The sequence below is a fragment of the Homo sapiens genome, chromosome 10 (genome assembly GCF_000001405.40).
Source record: "Homo sapiens chromosome 10, GRCh38.p14 Primary Assembly".
NCBI lineage: Eukaryota > Metazoa > Chordata > Mammalia > Primates > Hominidae > Homo > Homo sapiens.
The window spans coordinates 112305964-112325547 of NC_000010.11; the positions used below are offsets into that span (position 1 = coordinate 112305964).

A 19584-nucleotide genomic window follows, 5' to 3' on the forward strand; every position below is an offset into this window, starting at 1 on the left:
TGCATACATATATATGTGCATGTGTGCACACGTGGATGTCTGCATATGCACACGTGTGTTTTTGTGTGTATGTGTGTCTAGATGCCAAATGCTTATGATGTTCAATAAGAAAGGCAGAACTAAATCTATATTACATGAACATAACTTACATAAGCACATGGGCTAGGGCTGGAAGAAAAACAGACACACACACACAATACAAAGACAGGATAATAATAGGCAATTGCCCTACCTGGCCCCATTCCTTCATCTGTGTATTATTTTCTAATGTTCTTTTAATGTCACAGTGATGGACTGCTTAGTTACTGCTACGCTTTTGTATATAGCTCTATTAGTCCTTAATATTGCTTTATGCAATGAAATTATGCTTTCTTCTCCCTAACTAGACTGCAAGCCAAAGATCAAGGGAAAGTTCATATTCTCTTGTGTACCCCAGAATGGCACAGAGTAAGTGCTTAACAAATGCTCCTTGGATTAAAGAAATGTTCACATGAATAGGTGGACGGGTGGGTGGATGGATGGATGGATGGATGGATAGATGGATGGATGGATGGATGGATAGATGGATGGATGGATGGATGGATGGGGACTATCCTAGCTCTCTAGGAGGACTCATAGCAGAGGTGGCCTTGTTTCCTTTCATGGTTGAGCAAGGTGTTTGGGATCCAGAGCCATTATCTCAAGAAAAGGAGTTATGGGGAATGAGAAGATAAATTTGGCTTACTGTCTCCATGCTAAAGTAGCAGGAGAAAGCCCTCCTCTCCTCTTCACATAAATGCCTTCTGCCTTCTCTCCTTTTAAGTATCAGTCTAAAGCCTTCAGTCCCCAATGCTTAAGGCCTCTGGGGAGGAGCGAAGCCTACCACAATGAAAACAGAATTTTCATATAGAAAACAGAGTGTGTGATGGATGTAGAATTCAGTCTTCCCTCTCTGGGCAGAAGCAAAATACTGGTAATGGAAATGCTTAGGATCCCAATGAAGACTGGATTATTTGGGAAGTGAAAGTGCTTTTGTGTCCCTCTTCCTAAAGAAAGGCAAGAATTCCACCAAATCTTTTATATAATTTGGTGTTAAAAGCCTTCAATAAGCCAAAAAGTAGTTTATTTCCCATACAGGTCTCAAAAGTATCTCAGCAAAGGCAGCTCAGAGACCCAGCAAGAAAGAAACTATTTCTGGTCTCATTGATTTTCGCTCCTTCTGTCATGGGAAGTTCAACAGGAAAAGGTCTCAAACACAATATTTCATTCAAATTGCTCTGCCAGATTCAGGAGCAACCACATGAAAGATATCTGGATGTGAGGAGTTGCAAGAGATGAAGAAAGAAGTACTATAAATGCATTAGTGGTTCAGTAAATCTATTAAAACATCCACTCAATAAAACAACATGGAATCCTATTCATTATGTAGAAGAGAAAACCATCGTAGCAGGAATGGATGGGTTCGTCTTTGTCTACTGGAACCTTTTTTAAATTAAACTCTTCATAAATGACTGAGAAATTCTACTTAACATTCAAGCCTTGACTGCAGGAGTTTTTGCTCGGTGAATAGGAGAGAAATTAGGCAATACATCAGGAAGAGGGCATTATGCATTTGGGAGCTGCTCGGCTCACAGTAACTCAGGGCTCAGAACCAGGCTTTCCAATAACTGCAGAGGGCCTGACTGCTTGAAATAGCCTCGGCCCTGTTGGATTTCAGTGGCTGCTCATGCCTTAGAGCTTTTTTTCCTGAACACATTCTCAAGATGCTGTCAGATATGAGCTCCTATCTCCTTGCAAGCTGATTAGCTGATAAGGAAAATCAGCACCAAAGGTTAGAGAGCAGGCATCTTGCACAAGAAAGACAGGCTTCATCCTCTCCACTTTCCCCTCCTGCAGAATGAAACTGGGTTCAACACAAATTCTCAAGTTAATGGGCTGTAAATATCTGGCAGCTAGGGCAGTTGCACAGGGCTGAGAGCCACAAGTCAGCCCTGGCACCCCAGGAAATGAGTTCACCATCTTCAGCTCCTCCAAATCTGCATTTGCTGGAGGCACAGGCTGGGAGCAAACACCTGGAGGTGGAAGAGGGGGCCAGCTAGACGGCTCCCCCTAGTGGGAGACTGGATCAATGCCCCAGAACCACACCTCTTAAATGGGATATCGACTGCATCTTGAAGAAGGGTCCCCAAAGACTTTCATGTGACTCCACAAACATCTTGAAAGAAAATACTCACCTCACAATATCTCTGGGACTTTGGCTTTTTCCTCAGTAAATTCGGGAGTGGAAGAGTGAAGCCTTCTTTATCTTTCAACCAGAAAGTTGTTTGCTCTCCTTTGCCCTGTGGGAGGCAAAGGAAGGCCCTGGGGAATCGCTGGCAGGGTTGGGGTGGGGCTGGCGGGCTGCCTGTAATGCATGGCCTCTGGGCAGATGTCTGAGGTCTGTCTTACTTGCTGGGACAGTGGGAGCTCCCTCCCTCCACAAGCAAAAGGCCTCCTTACAGATAAAATCTTACTGATTTTCTTGGGCTTTGCTGATAAGCCTGCATGGCCAGGCAGCAATGTCCTAGGGGGTGACAGTCCACGGAGACTAAAGCTTGTTGCAAAGAAAATCTTTTAAAAATAATAATAAAATCTACTGCACTCTTAGTATGAGTGGGACACCCAGTGAAGCGCCTCACATCCATGTCCACATTTACTCCTCACATCCACCCTTCAAGGACGGTATTATCACCACCCCCATTTTGCAGATGACAAAAACAAGCCCTCAAACTCAGACAGCTGGTCAGTAGCAGGAATGGGTTCCAAGCTATGGCTAAATGCCGCCTTCTAGAAAAGTCTTCCTCTTACTGAAGTCAGTTGATTGAATACAGAATGCTAAGGCCAGGCTAAGCAAAACTGGGGAGTTGATGCCACTGCCTTCCCTTCTACTTCTTTTTCTGGACTGGGGTGTTCAAGAGGAAGCTAGGGGACCATTTGTAGCCAAAAAAAAAAAAACGAGAGAGAGAAAAGAAAAAAAGAAAGCATTCCCTAAGGGGTTGGTTTAGCTGGGAGTTAAGGTGTTCTCTGTTGAAGATTCCACGTTTGATCATTTGAGGGAACTTCTTCTCCTCTGAAGGAAGAAGATCTGGCAGTCATGAGTGCCTCCAGGGGAACCTTAGAGGTCTCCCTGCATCACTCCATGGAGATGCATCCATCCCGCTAAGTTCCTCGATGTCTCTATCAGAGACCCAAACAGGGCAGGCAGGGCATGGTTGGCCTGGTCTTACCTTGACTGGAATGGTGCCTCTCTTTAGCAAATCGTACCCTCCCAATGCCACCAGGGTGCTTGCAGTGCTCTGAGAGACATGAATCCGGAGAGCTGCCATAAACCAGTCACTGCTTAGTTATCAACTTATCAGTGGAGTGTCAGTGGGGTAGGGGCTGCTTTGGAGAGGGAACCTACACTGCTTGAATTCTCTGATCACCAGGACTTTTCATTAAGCAAATCACAGACGACTTCTCTGAAGTCTGGGACTCTTAGGTTGGGATTCTCAACCATTCTGACATTGCTCAATCATTGTTGAGTCCTGCTCAAAACCTTAGTGCATTCAGTTTGGAAACAGAAGGCAGAACTGATTCAGCATACAAGGTAATCCCCATGGAGGGCAGTTCACTGGGCTCCTCAGCTGGGACATTTTACTGAAAATGTTGTTTGTAACCAGAAATGCAATTAGAATCAGGTCTAGATCCTTTATAAGCAGCTCTAGCTTCAAAGTTTATCCTAAAAACCTTTACTTACAAGATAAGAGAGAGGTTTAAAATTCTTGTTTGAATGCTGGGCATGGTAGCTCACGCCTGTAATCTGAGCACTTTGGGAGGCCAAGGCGGGTGGATCATGTGATGTCAGGAGTTCGGGACTAGCCTGGCCAACATGGTGAAACCCCGTCTCTACTAAAAATACAAAAATTATCCAGGCGTGGTGGCAGATGCCTGTAACCCCAGCTACTGGGGAGGCTGAACCCGGGAGGCGGAGGTTGCAGTGAGCCGAGAGCATGCCATTGCACTCCAGCCTGGGCAACAAGAGCAAAACTCCATCTCAAAAAAAAAAAAAATTCTTGTTTGAGACTCGGTTAACTTAAACAATGAATGTGTTTTTATATAATGTGGAAAATTTACAATATAAAACAATGTTAATCATCTAAGCCTTTTTGAAACTGACATCACTGAGTAATTCTTTTTTACATGTCTCATCTGACAAATGGCATACGAGTGCCTGGGAATGGTAATGCAATAAAATTACTATAAAGCAAAAGAATGTAATATTCCCTGGAGGTCCTGGCTATAGATTTCTTCTGTACCACCAAGAATATACTCTACCTCGGAGAAGGGCAGATTATCACCTATGGGCCAAATCCAGTCCACTACTTGTGTTTGCAAATAAAGCTTTATTGGAACATGGCCATGCCTGTTGATTGACATATTGTCTATTGCTGCTTTTGAGCTACAACAGCACTTAAGTAGTTGCAACAAAGATTCTATGGCCCCTGAAGCCTGAAATATTTACTGTCTGGCCCTGTATAGAAAAGGTTTTCCGGGCCAGGCACAGTGCTTCATGCCAGCTAATCCCAGCACTTTGGGAGGCCGAAGTGGGTGGATCGCTTGAGGTCAGGAGTTCAAGACCAGCCTGACCAACATGGTGAAACCCAGTCTCTACTAAACACACACACACACACACACACACACACACACACACACACACACACACACACATTAGCCGGGCGTGGTGGCGCATGCCTGTAATCCCAGCTACTCAGAAGGCTGAGGCAGGAGAATCGCTTGAACCCAGGAGGCAGAGGTCACAATGACCTAAGATCACACCACTGCACTCCAGCCTGGGTGACACAGTGAGACTCCATCTCAAAAAAAAGAAAAAGCTTTCCAACTCCTGCTCTTCATTTAAGTGATTATATGTGCCTGTGATTGCTTAGGACTGAAAGTCATAGAAAAAAGGAGGCTGCGTGTATTTGCATGGTTCTAACAAGAGCAGAGTGCAAAACCCTGTCTATAAAGCATGTGATCAGTGTTGCCTGAAGTGGATAATGATCTTAACCTCCAGATGGAAAACAGTAGGCAAAAAGCAAATGCATCTTCTAAAAGTATCCCCTGGTTAAAGCTAGGGGCCTGGAGGGAGATAACAATATTGTGTTTACAAAGTGTTGTCAGTGATACCCACGTGAACTGCTGCTCTCCATTCTGGATGCCATGTTGACAGTGTCTCCAAATAGACAGTATCTGGACATGGTAATCCCCAGCACACCAGCCACCACAGGACCTAAAGAATGAAGAACCAAAGGCCATAACCGCTCTGCATTGCCCGAGGCTGGACTCGACGATACGCATCAGATGAACAAATGTAGTGATGCACCCTCTTGGGGCAAATTGGCAATAGGTTTTAGGGTTTACAGAAAGGAAACCGACAGAACCCACAAACACCTGCTGGAAAGCGACATCATCATTAAATGACCATGTCACTCACGAACTAGAGCTGTGAACAATGCCAATAGTGGTACAAACATGGGAGCAATTCATTCTGACTGAGGATCGGGTTTTATCTTTGTTGAGCCTTGGAAGATAGGTAGCATAACTGGCTACAAAATTTGCTGGAACAAGTGCAGAGTGAAAACACAGGACACTCTGTGCAAAAATGATTAAGAATTTCCAGACAGTGACAGAAAGAGCGTGAAACCAAGCATGCATCACTTCTGCACAGATCACATGCCCATGAGTTAGCAAACACAGAGCATATCAAAGGGCATTTGATGCTAAGGCATGGAAGAAAATTAGCCCTGTAGAACCCATCCTGGGTTTTGGTCTCTTCCTTTTTTTTTTTTTTTTTTTGAAAGAGTTTTGCTTTGTTGCCCAGGCTGGAGGCAGTGGCACGATGTCAGCTCACTGCAACCTCTGCCTTTCAGGTTCAAGCAATTCTCACGCCTCAGCCTCCTGAGTAGCTGAGATTATAGGTGCCTGCCACCACACCCAGCTGGTTTTCTGTATTTTAGTACAGACAGGGTTTCACCATGTTGCCCAGGTTGGTCTCAAACTCCTGAGCTCAGGCAATCCACCCATCTCGGCCTCCCAAATTGCTAGGATTACAGGCGTGAGCCACTGTGCCCAGTCCTTACTTTTGGTTGAATACATTGAAGCCATTGTGTGTCCTTGTTGTTACCAAGCAACCTAGCTAAATAGAAATACACATGCAGAGACAATTCAAACTTTTATTTCCCCTAAAGATGTTACTGTTCAATGTCCAGGTTCCTAAAAGCCCTGGACCTAGGAGTGGAACCCGGAACTACCTGCTGCCATCCCTGGACCATCAGGCCATCAGTTTTGTCTACCTGTGTAGAGGCCAATACGAAGCTGGAGCTTCTCCTGGGGCATGTGCCCAATTTGGAAGCAGATGGTGGCACTGAGGAAGTGCAGGGACATGGTGGCAATCTCAGCCACATGCTGGCTTCCATTGTGGTAGGGAGTCCACTAGCCACCATGTATGCATCTCCAATGGTCTCAACCTGAAAACAAAGTGACAGAGTGACCTTTGTTTTCCATGAGGGAGGCCAAGGGTTGGGGTGGGGTCAGAGATTAAGGCCCCTCATTTGTCCCCAACCTTGAGGCCCCATGTTTGGACGCGTCACACTCCCTGACCTCCACCCCATGCAAGTTCCAGCATTTCTTCAGTTCCTGCCCTTGTCATGGCTCTTCCACAAAGCCCCCCTCACCCTCCTTCCCTGAGCCTCCCTCCCCACAGTCACTGTTTCCTCCTCTGAAATCCAATAGTAGCGGTGACTATATTTCCCCAGCCCAAATTCAGAACCAGTGAGACAGGGAGCAGTATGCTCCTAGAGTCAACCTTGAAGGGTGAGGTGGATCCGTCAAGCAGAGACCATCTCACCCAATATTATATATATATACACATTATATATATATAATGTATGTATCTGCCTGTCTGTCCTCTTCCCCCTCCATCCTCCTAATAAAATCAGCTTTCAGATCTGTCATTCACAATAGAGAAATAAATGACAAGTAGAAGCTTAAAGTTACAGCCCTTTCCAGATACATTTGCATTTTAGCAGAATCCAAAGATGATGTGGTAAAGGCTGAATTTCAGGCATTAGCCAGACAGTAAGAACACCTCTGTCCTGGTGACCCTGAAATTACGCAAAGTCAACTATTCGACAAGCCTCACCTGCTTCCGGGTTTCCTCTCCCCACCGTGGTAACGTCCTTTAGAAATACAAACTAAGTTTTAATATGAGCTCAAGCAAAACACAACTGAGAAGGTAATACTAAGAGGAAAATCCCAGAAGATATCCTCCTAAGCAGGGCAGGTTCTGATTTTGTTGGGTGTGTGTGATCTACTCTTAAAGGTTATCTATACCATCCTTTCTTTCACCCTTGAACAGAGGCATCATTTGTGGGGAACACTGGGAGATAAACATTGAAGACGTGTCACTGTGTCACTGAGATATGTGACCATATGACCACACTGTCCCCCAAATCTCGCTATCCCCAGGTCCACAGGCAGAGACAGGGCCCTGGGATTGTGGTCAGTGCTGGTGCACTTGTGGCTGCCCACCAGGCATGTATGAGCACAGGCACACGGTACTGTCCCTAGAGTCATGGGCTGACCCCTTCTAAAGAGTCAGAACACACAGAAAGCAGCCCTCATCACCACCACCACCCGGCAGTCATGAAGAGCCAAAACATTTCTGTTTTCCCCATCAAAAATGGTTTTCACTCCAGGTGACCGTGTCCTTCTATCTCCCACAGTAGCACCCGGCAGGGAATTGTTGCTGCCCCGCTTTTAGTCACAAGTCTGATAGTCTAAAAGTGGGAATCTTTCTTCACTCTTAATTGCTAAGGATCAGGACAACAGAGGTGAGACCCACACAAGATCCAAGGACAACCTTTGAAGGACAGTAAACAGGAGCCTCTCTGCCTCTGAAGGAAATGTATTTAGGAAAGACGGGAAGGAATTAGCCAGTGGAAGGTCAATGCCTCTTTTTAAAAAGTGTTTACTGTGAGATAAAATAATGGAAGGAAACAGAGGAAACTGGTGAGTTTTGACAAGCACATACATCTGTGACTAATCAAGACCTTTTCCAAGAAAACAAACAGAAATAAAATATTGAGTTTCTGCCGTGAAGTGACATAGACTGAAATGGAGCTTCCTCCTGGCTGATGTCTGGAATCAGTTCCATTCTCCATCATGCCCCGGAGACAGCCTGCAAGGAGCACACGTGATCGCACAGTCAGGATGAGGCATCTCACCTTATAAACATCATAAGTTGTGATGATGTGATCGAATAAACTGTACACGTCATTGAGGAGCTTGACGACTTGCAAAGGGGAGCTGAGAGAACACAGCTTTGTGAATCCAACAATATCAGATAAAAAGATTGTCACAGATTCGAAATGTTCTGGTTCCACGGACCTTCCGGCTAGTAGTTGTTCTCCAGTGAAGCTGAAACCAGAGAAACGGATCATTTTTGAATGGGATCTTATTCATCTCATCTCCTACAGACTCCTGCAAAGTTGTCCTCATTGGTCCTTTTGCTTCAATGGCTAAGCTTTTGGTTAACAAAATTCATTTTCTAGAGGAATTCTTTTAACATCCACTTCTCCAGTTGCATTCTCTCTAAAGAGATATTTTAATTGACGTGTATAAATTGTGGGGGAGTAGGAGAGAGGGTCACATAATGCCTTTACAAAAAGGATTTTCTTTATGTATATTGGTTATAGAGTTAGGGTGTAAAGACTCTGCAGTTGTGGAAGGGAATATAATCATTCACCAATCCACAAATCAATTTCATTTCAGTCAACCAATCTCATTAAAAATCCCTGCCCCCACTTCTTTGGTCTAGACATGCAAGAAGCGCACGGGAATTTTAACAGCAAATACTTCTGCCAAGTGTTGAGAGAGTGAACATATAGAAACAGAACCAAAAATGAAGCAATATTTGAATGTGAAGCCACAGGTACATATTAAACTGTGTGGAGGTTTTGGACCTACAATCAAATACAGGGGAGGTAGCAATTAGTCGGACTCGTGAAACGAGGGCGCCATCTAGTGGCTACTCTCCTGTTGCTGCATCCACCACCCTCCACGTAAAAGACCGACTACAGCCTCTATTTCTATGGATTCAGGAGAGTTTGCCTCTATCTCCCTTTACAGGTGTACCAAACTGCACAAAAAAAAATGCCTGACCCCTTTTAGAAGAACCTGACATTCTCTTAGAAAAATAATCATGGAAATAATCCCCCCTATGTGGGGCTGCTAGATGGTGATGCCGCAGCTTCAAGGCCCCAGTGCTTCCGAATACCTGGGCACTTTGGTGGACAGAAGCTTCTCCACCTTCCTCTTCTCTGCAGTCAGCTGGCTGGTCCTCTCTTGCACCACTTCCTCCAGGTAATTGGCATACACTTCCAGCTTGCTCATCACACTGGCCAGTATGCTCACATGACTTTAAAAGAAACCAGACATTGATGTTTTCTCCCAAGACCCTTAGGGCCTCAGTGGAACAGAGCTTCCAGCTACACATTCCAGGAAAATATTGCTTGCCTTTCAGGTGTCCTAGTTAAGGGTTGCCAACGGACATCGGGGAAGTGACAATGGCATTGCAGCCGCGTGACAGGACAGAGCCTGCCTTTCATCAGCCCTCTAAGCTGCCTCCTTCATTTCTCTGAGCCTCACTTTACTCATTTGGAAAATGAAGATAATCACGCGTACCTCATGTACATACGATCACGTTGTTGTTCTGAGGATGTAGGGAGATAACATGCATAAAGTGTCTAGGGTCACGTCCAGGGCCACAGGCACTCAACAAATGGTGGCCTTCAATGGCCCATTCCCCACCTCCCAACAGACATTGAGAATGCAGATTTCAGGATGGGTCATTCCTTTCTTTTCAGACGGTCTAATGTAAGGGCACTTCTAGATTCTATTAGTCCTTTGTTTTCGAAGCGTCTTCAGAGAACTCATTTAAATTCCTCATCTTCAGATGAGGAGACCTAGACTCACATAGGAAAATAGATTTGTCATAACATTGAGGTCCATATTTTCTAAGTAAAAAATATGGGGATGTATCTTAAGCTTACTTAAGAGGTATCTTTAGGTTAATTACCTTGATTTAATCATTCTACACAGTATACGTATTCCGAAACATCACATGGTATACCATAAATATAAACAATGTTTCACTTGTTAATTTTAATTTTAATTTTATTTTATTTTACATTTTTGAGATGGCGTCTTGCTCTGTCACCCAGGCTGGAGTACAGTGCTGCAATCTCAGCTCACAGCAACCTCCACCACCCAGGTTCAAGCGATTCTCCTGTCTCAGCCTCCTGAGTAGCTGGGGTTATAAGTGTGTGCCATCACGCCCAGCTAATTTTTGTATTTTTAGTAGAGATGGGGTTTCACCATGTTGGTCAGCCTGGTCTCAATCTCCTGATCTCAGGTGATCCACCTGCCACGGCGTCCCAAAGTGCTGGGATTATAGGCTTGAGCCACCACACCCAGCCTCATTTGTTAATTTTAAAAATCATTTAAAAATGATTTTTAAAATTTAAAAACTATTACGAGCTTGGAAATGCAGAACCCAGGGCTATTGTGTTAAGAATGCATAGCTGAGGCCAGATACGGTGGCTCTTGCCTGTAATCCCAGCACTTTGGGAGCCCAAGGCAGGCAGATCACCTGAGGTCAGGAGTCTGAGACCAGCCTGGCCAGCATAGCGAAACCCTGTCTCTACTAAAAATACAAAAATTAGCCAGGCATGGTGGCACACACCTGCAGTCCTAGCTGCTCAGGAGGCTGAAGCATGAGAATCACTTGAAGCCGGGAGGCAGAAATTGCAGTGAGCCAAGATCATGCCACTGCACTCCAGCCTGTGCAACAGAGCCAGACCCTGACTCCAAAAAATGTTTTGTTTTGTTTTTTTAAATAATGCATAGCTGAAGGTCCAAATTAAGAGTAGACACCTGATTCCTAGCCTGGGGCTCTTTCTACCAACTCAAGCTACCTCTAACATGGGCATGTCTTCCTAAATTCATGTACTAAAAGATGATACAATTATCTGGTGTAAAGGAAGCTACTATTGAGAAAGTTGTTGGAGAGGAATGCGTAATTTAAGTCATAACCTACTCTATGGGTGGTGAGTAATTTTTATCCCACAGTCCAGTCCAAATTGATTAGCCTAACCCTTGGAATGCTGATTTGAAAAAGACTCTGAAGCCATGTCAAAACTCCCTGGAAACAAGGGCCTTAATTGATTAGTGACACCTGAGATAGACAAAGAAGGCAGTAGAATTATTAATATCTGATCCATTTTTGTGGCATTTATGAAATAAAGGAAAAATTTCTCACTCCACTGTAACCAGCATGTAGTACAGTGTTTTGTGTATGGTAAGCACTGAGTGAGTGTATGAGGAAGGAAGAAAGGAAGGAAGGAAGGGAGGAAGGGAGGAATGGAGGAAGGGAGGAGGGAGGAAGGGAATGAGTCACATAGAACCAATCACGGCCATATAGATTTAATTTTGTTTTGTTTTGTTTTTTAGAAACAGGGTCTCGTTCTGTCACCCAGGCTGGAGTGCAGTGGCACAATCATAGCTCACTGCAGCCTTGACCTCCAGGGCTCAAGCAATTCTCAGCCCCCCTAAGAAACTCAAACTACAGGCTCACACCACCACGCCTGGCTAATTTTTTATTTTATTTTATTTTTTATAGATACAGAAACTCACCATGTTGCCCAGGCTGGTCTTGAACTCCCGGCCTCAAGGGATCCTCCTGCCTTAGCCTCCTAAATCACTGGGATTACATGCATGAGCCACCATGCCCAGCAGCTCTAAAATCCTAATGGTTAACTGAGTGAGAGCAAATATCTGTTGCACATCTAACTCACCCTCTGGGACTGGCCTCTCGTAAAGTTTTCTTGATGGAAGAGAAACTGGGTCTTTTCTCCAGAGATTCATCCCAACACACCCTCACCATGGCCACGATCTTTTCATTGCCCTTCTCCTCGGGCAGGGAAGGTTGCAGTGGGACTGCTGCTGCAGGGTCTTTGATTTGGTTGATGATTTCTGAAATTCATGTTGGGTTTAGACAGCCAAACATCAGAACTTTGTGCCACTTACTACACTTCATTTTCAATAGTAATTGTGCTCTTATATTTGTAAACTGAGTTTTTAAATAAATAGAACAGATTAGAATTCCAAAGTAATCTGGATATTTTAATAGGAATACTCTGAGAATCTGCCTGGAAAATGAACAATTCTAATGAAAAACATATAAACAAACATCCTCCTAATTAATTTGTTTTCAAATCAAGATTTTTTAAAATAGAACTTTGCTTGAGGAGAAGCATATCTCTATATGATTTCAGGAATGTATAGGCATTTCGTGTTGGAAACCCCCAAAGCGCGCTTCATGCAATTTTGTTAAATTTTCTGTAATATGTCGCAGAAATGCTATTTTAACACGTAATAAATGTTACCATCATGTCCTGCCTCTCTGTCCGATTTTCTAAACCTAATTTTTCCCACTTCTTCACTGGCTCCTACTGACATTTATTAAACATTCTGCTTAACCAGATGTTGTCAAGAAAATAATATTTTGAGAACAATGTATACATGTTTTGGCATAAAAATAAAAATACTGTGTGTGCAACAACATGGATAAGTCTTACATGCATTATTACTAAGTTAGAGAAACCAGTCAGAAAAGGCTGTGTACTGTATGATTCTATTTACATGGCACCCCAGAAGCAACAACACGCAAGCAGCAGTGGGCATATCTAGCATCATTTCTTTCTTTCTTTCTTTTTTCTTTTCTTTTTTTTTTCTTTTTTTTTTTTTTTTTTTTGAGATAGACTCTGGCCCTGTTGCCCAGGCTGGAGTGCAGTGGTGTGATCTCCGCTTACTGCAACCTCCGCCTCCTGGGTTCAAGCGACTCTTCTGCCTTAGGTTCCCCAGTAGCTGGAACTACAGGCATGCGCCACCACGCCCAGCTAATTTTTGTACTTTTAGTGGAGATGGGGTTTCACCATGTTGGCCAGGATGGTCTCGATCTCTTGACCTCGTTATCTGCTTACTTTCTAATACCTTTCTCCAACAAAAGAAGTCATGGCTTCTTGGAGAATTGACTGCATCTAGCACTGGGGCAGGAGATATGCAAAATGAGACTTTCTTGTCTTCCCAGAAATTAAGGAAATATACATTCTAGAAAAGACAAAATTTTAGAGACAGAAAACAGATCAGTGTTTTCCAAGAGTTTGAGGAGCAGAGAGCGTTGACTAGGTGAAGTGCAGGGGATAATTTTAGGATGAGGAAACTTTTCTGTAGGATACTATAGTGGTGGATAGATGACACTATGTATTTACCAAAACCCATAGAGCTTAATAGCACAAAAGTAAGCCATAAGGAAAGCAAACTTTAAAAAATACCAATTGGGAAATTAGGCAACCCCAAGATAGAATGCAAACAGCGATAAAAGAATCTAACAGTGTTACAAATATATGGCATAACCTTACTGAATGGGATGAGTGAGAAAGAATGCTGACCTACATCGCTTGTGAAATCACTAGAAACTTTCTAAGACTAAAGGCAAAAGGAACTATTCATAATCATCGTACTCTAGTTGGTAAAACTGTTTCTCATGGGGATGCAGATTAACAAGTCTAAAATCACCGAACACACACATAGGGATCGAACAAAGTACATGGATGGTGGATGGTGGGAGCCAGTATCTCAATGTTGGAATTTACAGAAAAGTAATGGGGAAGACTGCAATGAACCGTGATGGCGATGAGTTAGATTTGGAGACGTCAATGGGAACTCATGTTTAGTTTAATGTAGATGCAGATATATGTGTATGGGTGCATGTGTAGTTATAGAGATATGTATACATACGGGTTAGTATGCACACGCATTTCCCTACTCTGTCCACTGAGAAGGCCCATAAGCAACAACACTCCGGTAGCAATGAGCGTATCTAGTGTCAGCTCTAACTTTCTAATACCTTTCTCCAACAAAAGCAGCCAGGGCTTGTTGGAGAGAACTGGTTGCTTCTAGCACTGGCGCAGGGATATGCAAAATGAGACTTTCTTGTCTTACCAGAAAGTAAGGAAATACACAGAAACAAGACAAAACACCACAGCGATGGCTACATGTCAAAGAGACACAGAAGCCACCTGAAACGGAATGGCCAAAACTGGAACAATTTAAGCCACAAAATAAATAGTAGTGATTCAGTTATAACTCAAAGTATGAAATAAATATCCATGAGTCCATACTGACCTAAGTACTTGAAGAAATAAATGAATGGGCACAGTAGACAAATCTCCCACGGAGAAGAATTCCAAGTATTCCCTCCTCAAAGAGGTGGAACCTAACTTCCCACCCTTTTTTTTCTTTTTCCCTCTCCTTTTTTTTTTTTTTTTTTTTTTGTTTGAGACAGGGTCTCTGTTGCCCAGGCTGGAGTGCAGTGGCAGGATCTTTACTCCGCCTCCCAGGCTCAAGCAATCCTCACACCTCAGCTTCCAGAGTAGCTGGGACGCTACCACGTCCAGGTAATTTTTGTATTTTTGTAAAGACTGGATCTTCCCGTGTGCCCAGGTTGGTCTCAAACTCCTGGGCTCAAGCGATTCGCCCTCCTCGGCCTCCCACAATGTGGGGATTACAGGCGTGAGCCACCGCGCCCAGCCTAACTCTTCACTCATAAGTGTGGGTTTCACATAGAGATTTCTCTCCCTAGACTAAGTATGGAAGGGAGAAATCAGAGTAACTTTATGGTGGAGAAATTGACAAACACTTCCCCAGCCAAGTGATCAAGGTCAACATCAACAGCAATAATCAATGAAAAGGACAATTTACTTGTTCAGTCATCCTTCAAAATACATATACGCAAAACCATGAGAAAAGAAAAACAAATCAGACAAATTCCACATGAAAGAACTTCTACAAAGTATCTGACCAGTACTCCTCAAAAGTGTCAAGGTCATTGAAAATAAAGTCTGAGAAATTTTCCCAGAGAAGCTTAAGGAGACATGACAACCAAATATAATGTGGTACCCTGGATGGGGTTCAGAGACAGAAAAAGGACATTAGGTAAGAACTAGGAAATCTGAATAATATATGACTGTTAGTTTAATATAATAAAAAAATACAGGTTACAAAACTGTGCATAAAATGTCATCTTGTTTAAGTGTACATGTTTAATGCCTAAAAGTATTCTGAAAGTATGTGCATTAAAAAGCACTCTAGGAGGCGCAGTGGCTCACGCCTGTAATCCCAGCACTTTAGGAGCCCAAGATGGGCGGATCACTTGAGGTCAAGAGTTCGAGACCAGCCTGGCCAACATGGTGAAACCCTCTCTCTACTAAAAATACAAAAATTAGCCTGGCATGGTGGTGGATGCCTGTAGTCCCAGCTGCTCAGGAGGCCAAGGCAGAATTGCTTGAACCCGGGAGGTAGAGGCTGCAGTGAGCCGAGATCACGCCATCACACTCCAGCCTGAGCGACAGAGAGAGATTCCATCTCAAAAAAAAAAAAAGTACTCTGGAAAATTGTGTTTTACTTCCCAAATGAAGTACAATTTGAGACATGAGACAGCAATGGCTTCAAAAGCAGTGACTGAATTACTATGGCATCTTCTGCTTTCTGTGTTTAGCTCTAAGAAATGCATGAAAGAATCAGAAAAATGACATAGGACTTCGAGAGCAAATTCAGACCCATGGGACTGCACTTCAGAGCACATGTGTGAATTACCTAGTAACTTCTAACCAGCTGTTTCCATCCTATAATCTTTAACCGTCTACTAGACATGTTAGCACTGTTGCTCATTTGCTTTGGCAACGTGCATCAGAATCGCTGGGGAGCTTGCTGACACACAGATTTCTGGACCAATTCCTCCACAGTTTCCAATGAAGCAGGTCAGGAGTGGGGCCTGAAAATGTGCATTTCTGACGTGTTTCCAGCTGATGCTGATGCTGCTGGTCCAAGGACCACAAGGACCAAGGCCAGTACTTCTCAAGCTGTGGCTTTATCAGCATCACCTGGGAGGGTGATGGAAATGCACATTCTCAGGCCTCACCCCAGACCTACTGAGTCAGAAACCCCAAGAGTGGAACCCAACAATGTTGTGTTTTAACTGCCTCCCAGTGATTCTGATGCCCACCACAGTTTGAGAACCATGGGTCCTGCGTGCCCAGAGAATCAATAGCTACTCAGTTCCCAGTACAAGCTTTGTTTATAGGAAAGTGTCAGAAGTTAATTGAAGAACTGTTTGCCCATAAATTAGGTATACACTGTATTCTTCCTGGTTGCAGTCCTGTGGATACATAGTCCCATGTAGCCAGCTCTCAGTTAATTTTGTGAGCTCAACAACGAAGGGGAAATACATTGATTGTCCACAGTATCTTCCCTTACAGATCCCAACTGGCAAAACCTAGGCGGTGAAGGGGCTGAGGGACTGTGGGTGGGCTCCTGCCTGGGCTCAGTCTGGAAATATTTGTGTGTGTGCTTGATGCCAAAGTCAGATGCGCTTGGATTTTGAGTTACCCTTTTTGGATTAATCTCACCTCTGCTTTATTTAGCCAGAAATTAGAAACTGGAATCTGGTCTAAAAGCAATTGCATATCCTCACAGTGGGCTCCTGACTCAAAAAGTCTCCAGGTAACAGATAATGATCTAAAGCTGAGGCTTGAGATAGACCACTGAGGATAGGCTAGAAATGGTAGGCAAAGCAAGAAAAAAAAAATCAAGAGAGAAAGTGGGCTGAGTTTACTTAGAAACTCACACTTATGTGTGTACACACACACACACTGGTATCCTCTCTCCAAGCAGCCTGAGCTGCTACATATTACAATCACCCCGGGAGCTTTGAAACCCTGACACTGAGGCAGCACCCCGAACCAATGATATCAGAATCTCAGGCTGAGATCCAGGCATCAGCCATTAAGAGACAACCCAGCAAAAAAAAAAAAAAAAAAGCCCGAAAATATCCTTTGTAAGTGGACAACTGAACAGCATTTATCATGGATTTTGAATATAGTTAAAATATATTTATCTCCTCAATTTCATGGCTAGAAATCTAGCCTGAAACAACATTCACCATGTGTGCAAAGATATAGAGCTGCTCATTGCAGCAATTTCCAAAATGTGTATCAAGGTACCACTTATGGCATATTCTCACAGTGAAAAATTTTGTAGCCCTTAAGAAAGAATGGGGCAAATTTGTACATAGGAATATGAGGCGAGAGGTGTCCCGGCAGAGGGAACAGTATACACAAAGGGTTTGGGGTAGAAATGTGTCTAGAGTGATAGAAACATTTCTACAACTCCAAAGTAAACCCCTTGCTCATTAAGCAGTTTCTCCCTGTTCTCCCGACCCCCAACCCCTGGTAACCACCACCAACCTGCATTCTGTCTCTATGGATTTGTCTATGTTGGAGACGCATGAAGGTGGCCAATGTGACTGAAAGGAATGAGCCATAAGAGATGACAGTAGGAAGGTGCAGTGGGCTGAATCGTGGTTCCTAAAGGGAAATGTCCAAATCCTAATCCCCAGAATCTACAAATGTTTCCTTATTTGGGAAAGGGGATATAAACCAAATATGCAAACAGAATTAAGTTTAGGATCTCAGGATGAGGAGGTCATCTTGGATTATAGGGGTGGGCCCCAAATCCAATGACAAATGTCCTCATAAGTGGCACAGCCAGGATAAGTACACAGAGGAGGAGGTAATGTGAAGACGGAGACAGAGGTTGAGGCCATGTGGCCACAAACCCAGGAATGCTGGGGCAGCCACCAGCAGCTGGAAGAGGCAGAGAATGGAACCTTCCCTAGAGCTTCTGGAGGGAGCAGAGCCTTGACAACACCTTGACTTTAGACATCTGGCCTCTAGAACTGCCAGGGAATAAGCATCGGTGTTTCAAGCCACCAAGCTTGTGGTCACTGTTATGGCCCCCTAGGAAACTAATCCAGAAGGCCGCAGAGGTTACACGGTTTCAACGCCTTCAGTGGTCTTGTAGGCCATGAGGAGGACTTAGTTTTCACTCCTCAGATGGGAAGCCAGGGGAGGCTTCTGATAGAGAAGTGACATAATCTGCCTCATTTTCTAATAGGATCCCTCTGGCTGCTGTAACAAAACAAGTTATATAATTTGGGGTCCCTTGATTTTTTTGGTAACCAAAATGCAATTCATTTTCTAATTTAAAAAAAGAATATGAATTTTTATTTTTCTTTAATTTTTTTCTGAGACTGCTTGCTGGGAAAGAGCATGAATTTTTCAATAAAAAATAATGGAATAAATTGTATATTAATAAAACAATTAATTTAAAAAACCAGCATTTCAAAGCTGGCCCACACGACCAAAACCTCCCAAGCAGGCTGTCCCGCTTTACCATCCGGTGCCTCGTGGAGGTCATCAAAAGGCCCGTGGTCCCAATGGTAGATCAGCTCCCTCATCAGAATGGCGAAGCTGTAAACATCTCCTTGCGGGGTACCCGACCAGGGCATCTCCGGGAACTGCAGCAGCTCTGGGGCAGTCCAGTAGAGCTCTGCAAAAGAATGGGATGTCCGCATGGAGTGAGGGTACTGCCAGGCAAAACAGGAAAAGCCACCTCTTCATCCTTTGGGGCACAGGAGAAAGGAAGGTATCCAGCCCTGAGCCATCAGCCCCAGTGTTGTCTGATTTGAAGAGCTAACAGGGGTCCGTGTGTGTGAATACAGAGAAAATTAGCAGGAAGGATGTGCGCTAACATGTTAACGGTGGTTTACTCAAGACTAAAATTACAGCTGGTTTTCATGTTCAAGTTCCTTCTCTGTATTGCCTTTATTTTTAAAAACAATTGTGGTACGATTCATAGAACATAAAATTAACCATTTTAGGCCAGGCGTAGTTCACGCCTGTAATCCCAGCACTTTGGGAGGCCGAGGTGGGAGGATAAATTGAGGTCAGGGGTTCCAGACCAGCCTGGCCAACATGGTGAAACTCCTCTATTAAAAATACAAAAATTGCTGGGCATGGTGGCTCACGTCTATAATCCCAGTACTTTGGGTGGCCAAGGCAGGTGGATCACCTGAGGTCAGGAGTTCAAGCCCAGCCTGACCAACATGGAGGAACCCCATCTCTCCTAAAAATACAAAATTAGCTGGGTGTGGTGGTGCATACCTGTAATCCCAGCACCTGGGGAGGTTGAGGCAGGAGAATCGCTTGAACCCAGGAGGCGGAGGTTGTGGTGAGCCAAGATCGTGCCATTGCACTCTAGCCTGGGCAACAAGAGCGAAACTCTGTCTCAAATAAATAAATAAATAATAAAAATAAATAAAAATACAAAAATTAGCCGGGCATGGTGGAACACATCTGTAATCCCAGCTACTCGGGGGGCTGAGGCAGAAGAATCACTAGAACCCAGCAGGCAGAGGTTGCAGTGAGTCGAGGTTGCACTACTGCCCTCCACCCTGAGCAACAGATCCAGATTCCATCCCCCCGCCAAAAAAAAATTAACCATTTTAAATGAACAATTCAGTGGCATTTAGCACATTCACGATGTTGTGCAACCACCACCTCT

General features: G+C 44.0%; 1 pseudogene across 1 annotated transcript in view, besides 1 other annotated feature; it reads right to left on the reverse strand.

Moving 5' to 3' along the window:
• Positions 1-2214: 2214 nt before the first annotated feature.
• Positions 2215-19584, reverse strand: part of GUCY2GP (guanylate cyclase 2G, pseudogene) — a 48418-nt pseudogene continuing 31048 nt past the window's right edge. Inside the window, exons 12-19 of the transcript NR_028134.1 lie at positions 18415-18570; positions 11916-12093; positions 9338-9478; positions 8286-8478; positions 6354-6527; positions 5192-5290; positions 3246-3337; positions 2215-2318 (exon numbers count right to left, since the gene is read on the reverse strand). The product of NR_028134.1 is annotated as a guanylate cyclase 2G, pseudogene (transcript). The remainder of the gene's footprint in view (positions 2319-3245; positions 3338-5191; positions 5291-6353; positions 6528-8285; positions 8479-9337; positions 9479-11915; positions 12094-18414; positions 18571-19584) is intronic.
• Positions 8994-9103: a silencer, noted in NCBI's record as "silent region_2832". NCBI's record gives its function as "represses an Ori minimal core promoter by ATAC-STARR-seq in GM12878 lymphoblastoid cells {active_cell/tissue: GM12878}" and the evidence as "EXISTENCE:reporter gene assay evidence [ECO:0000049][PMID:35858748]".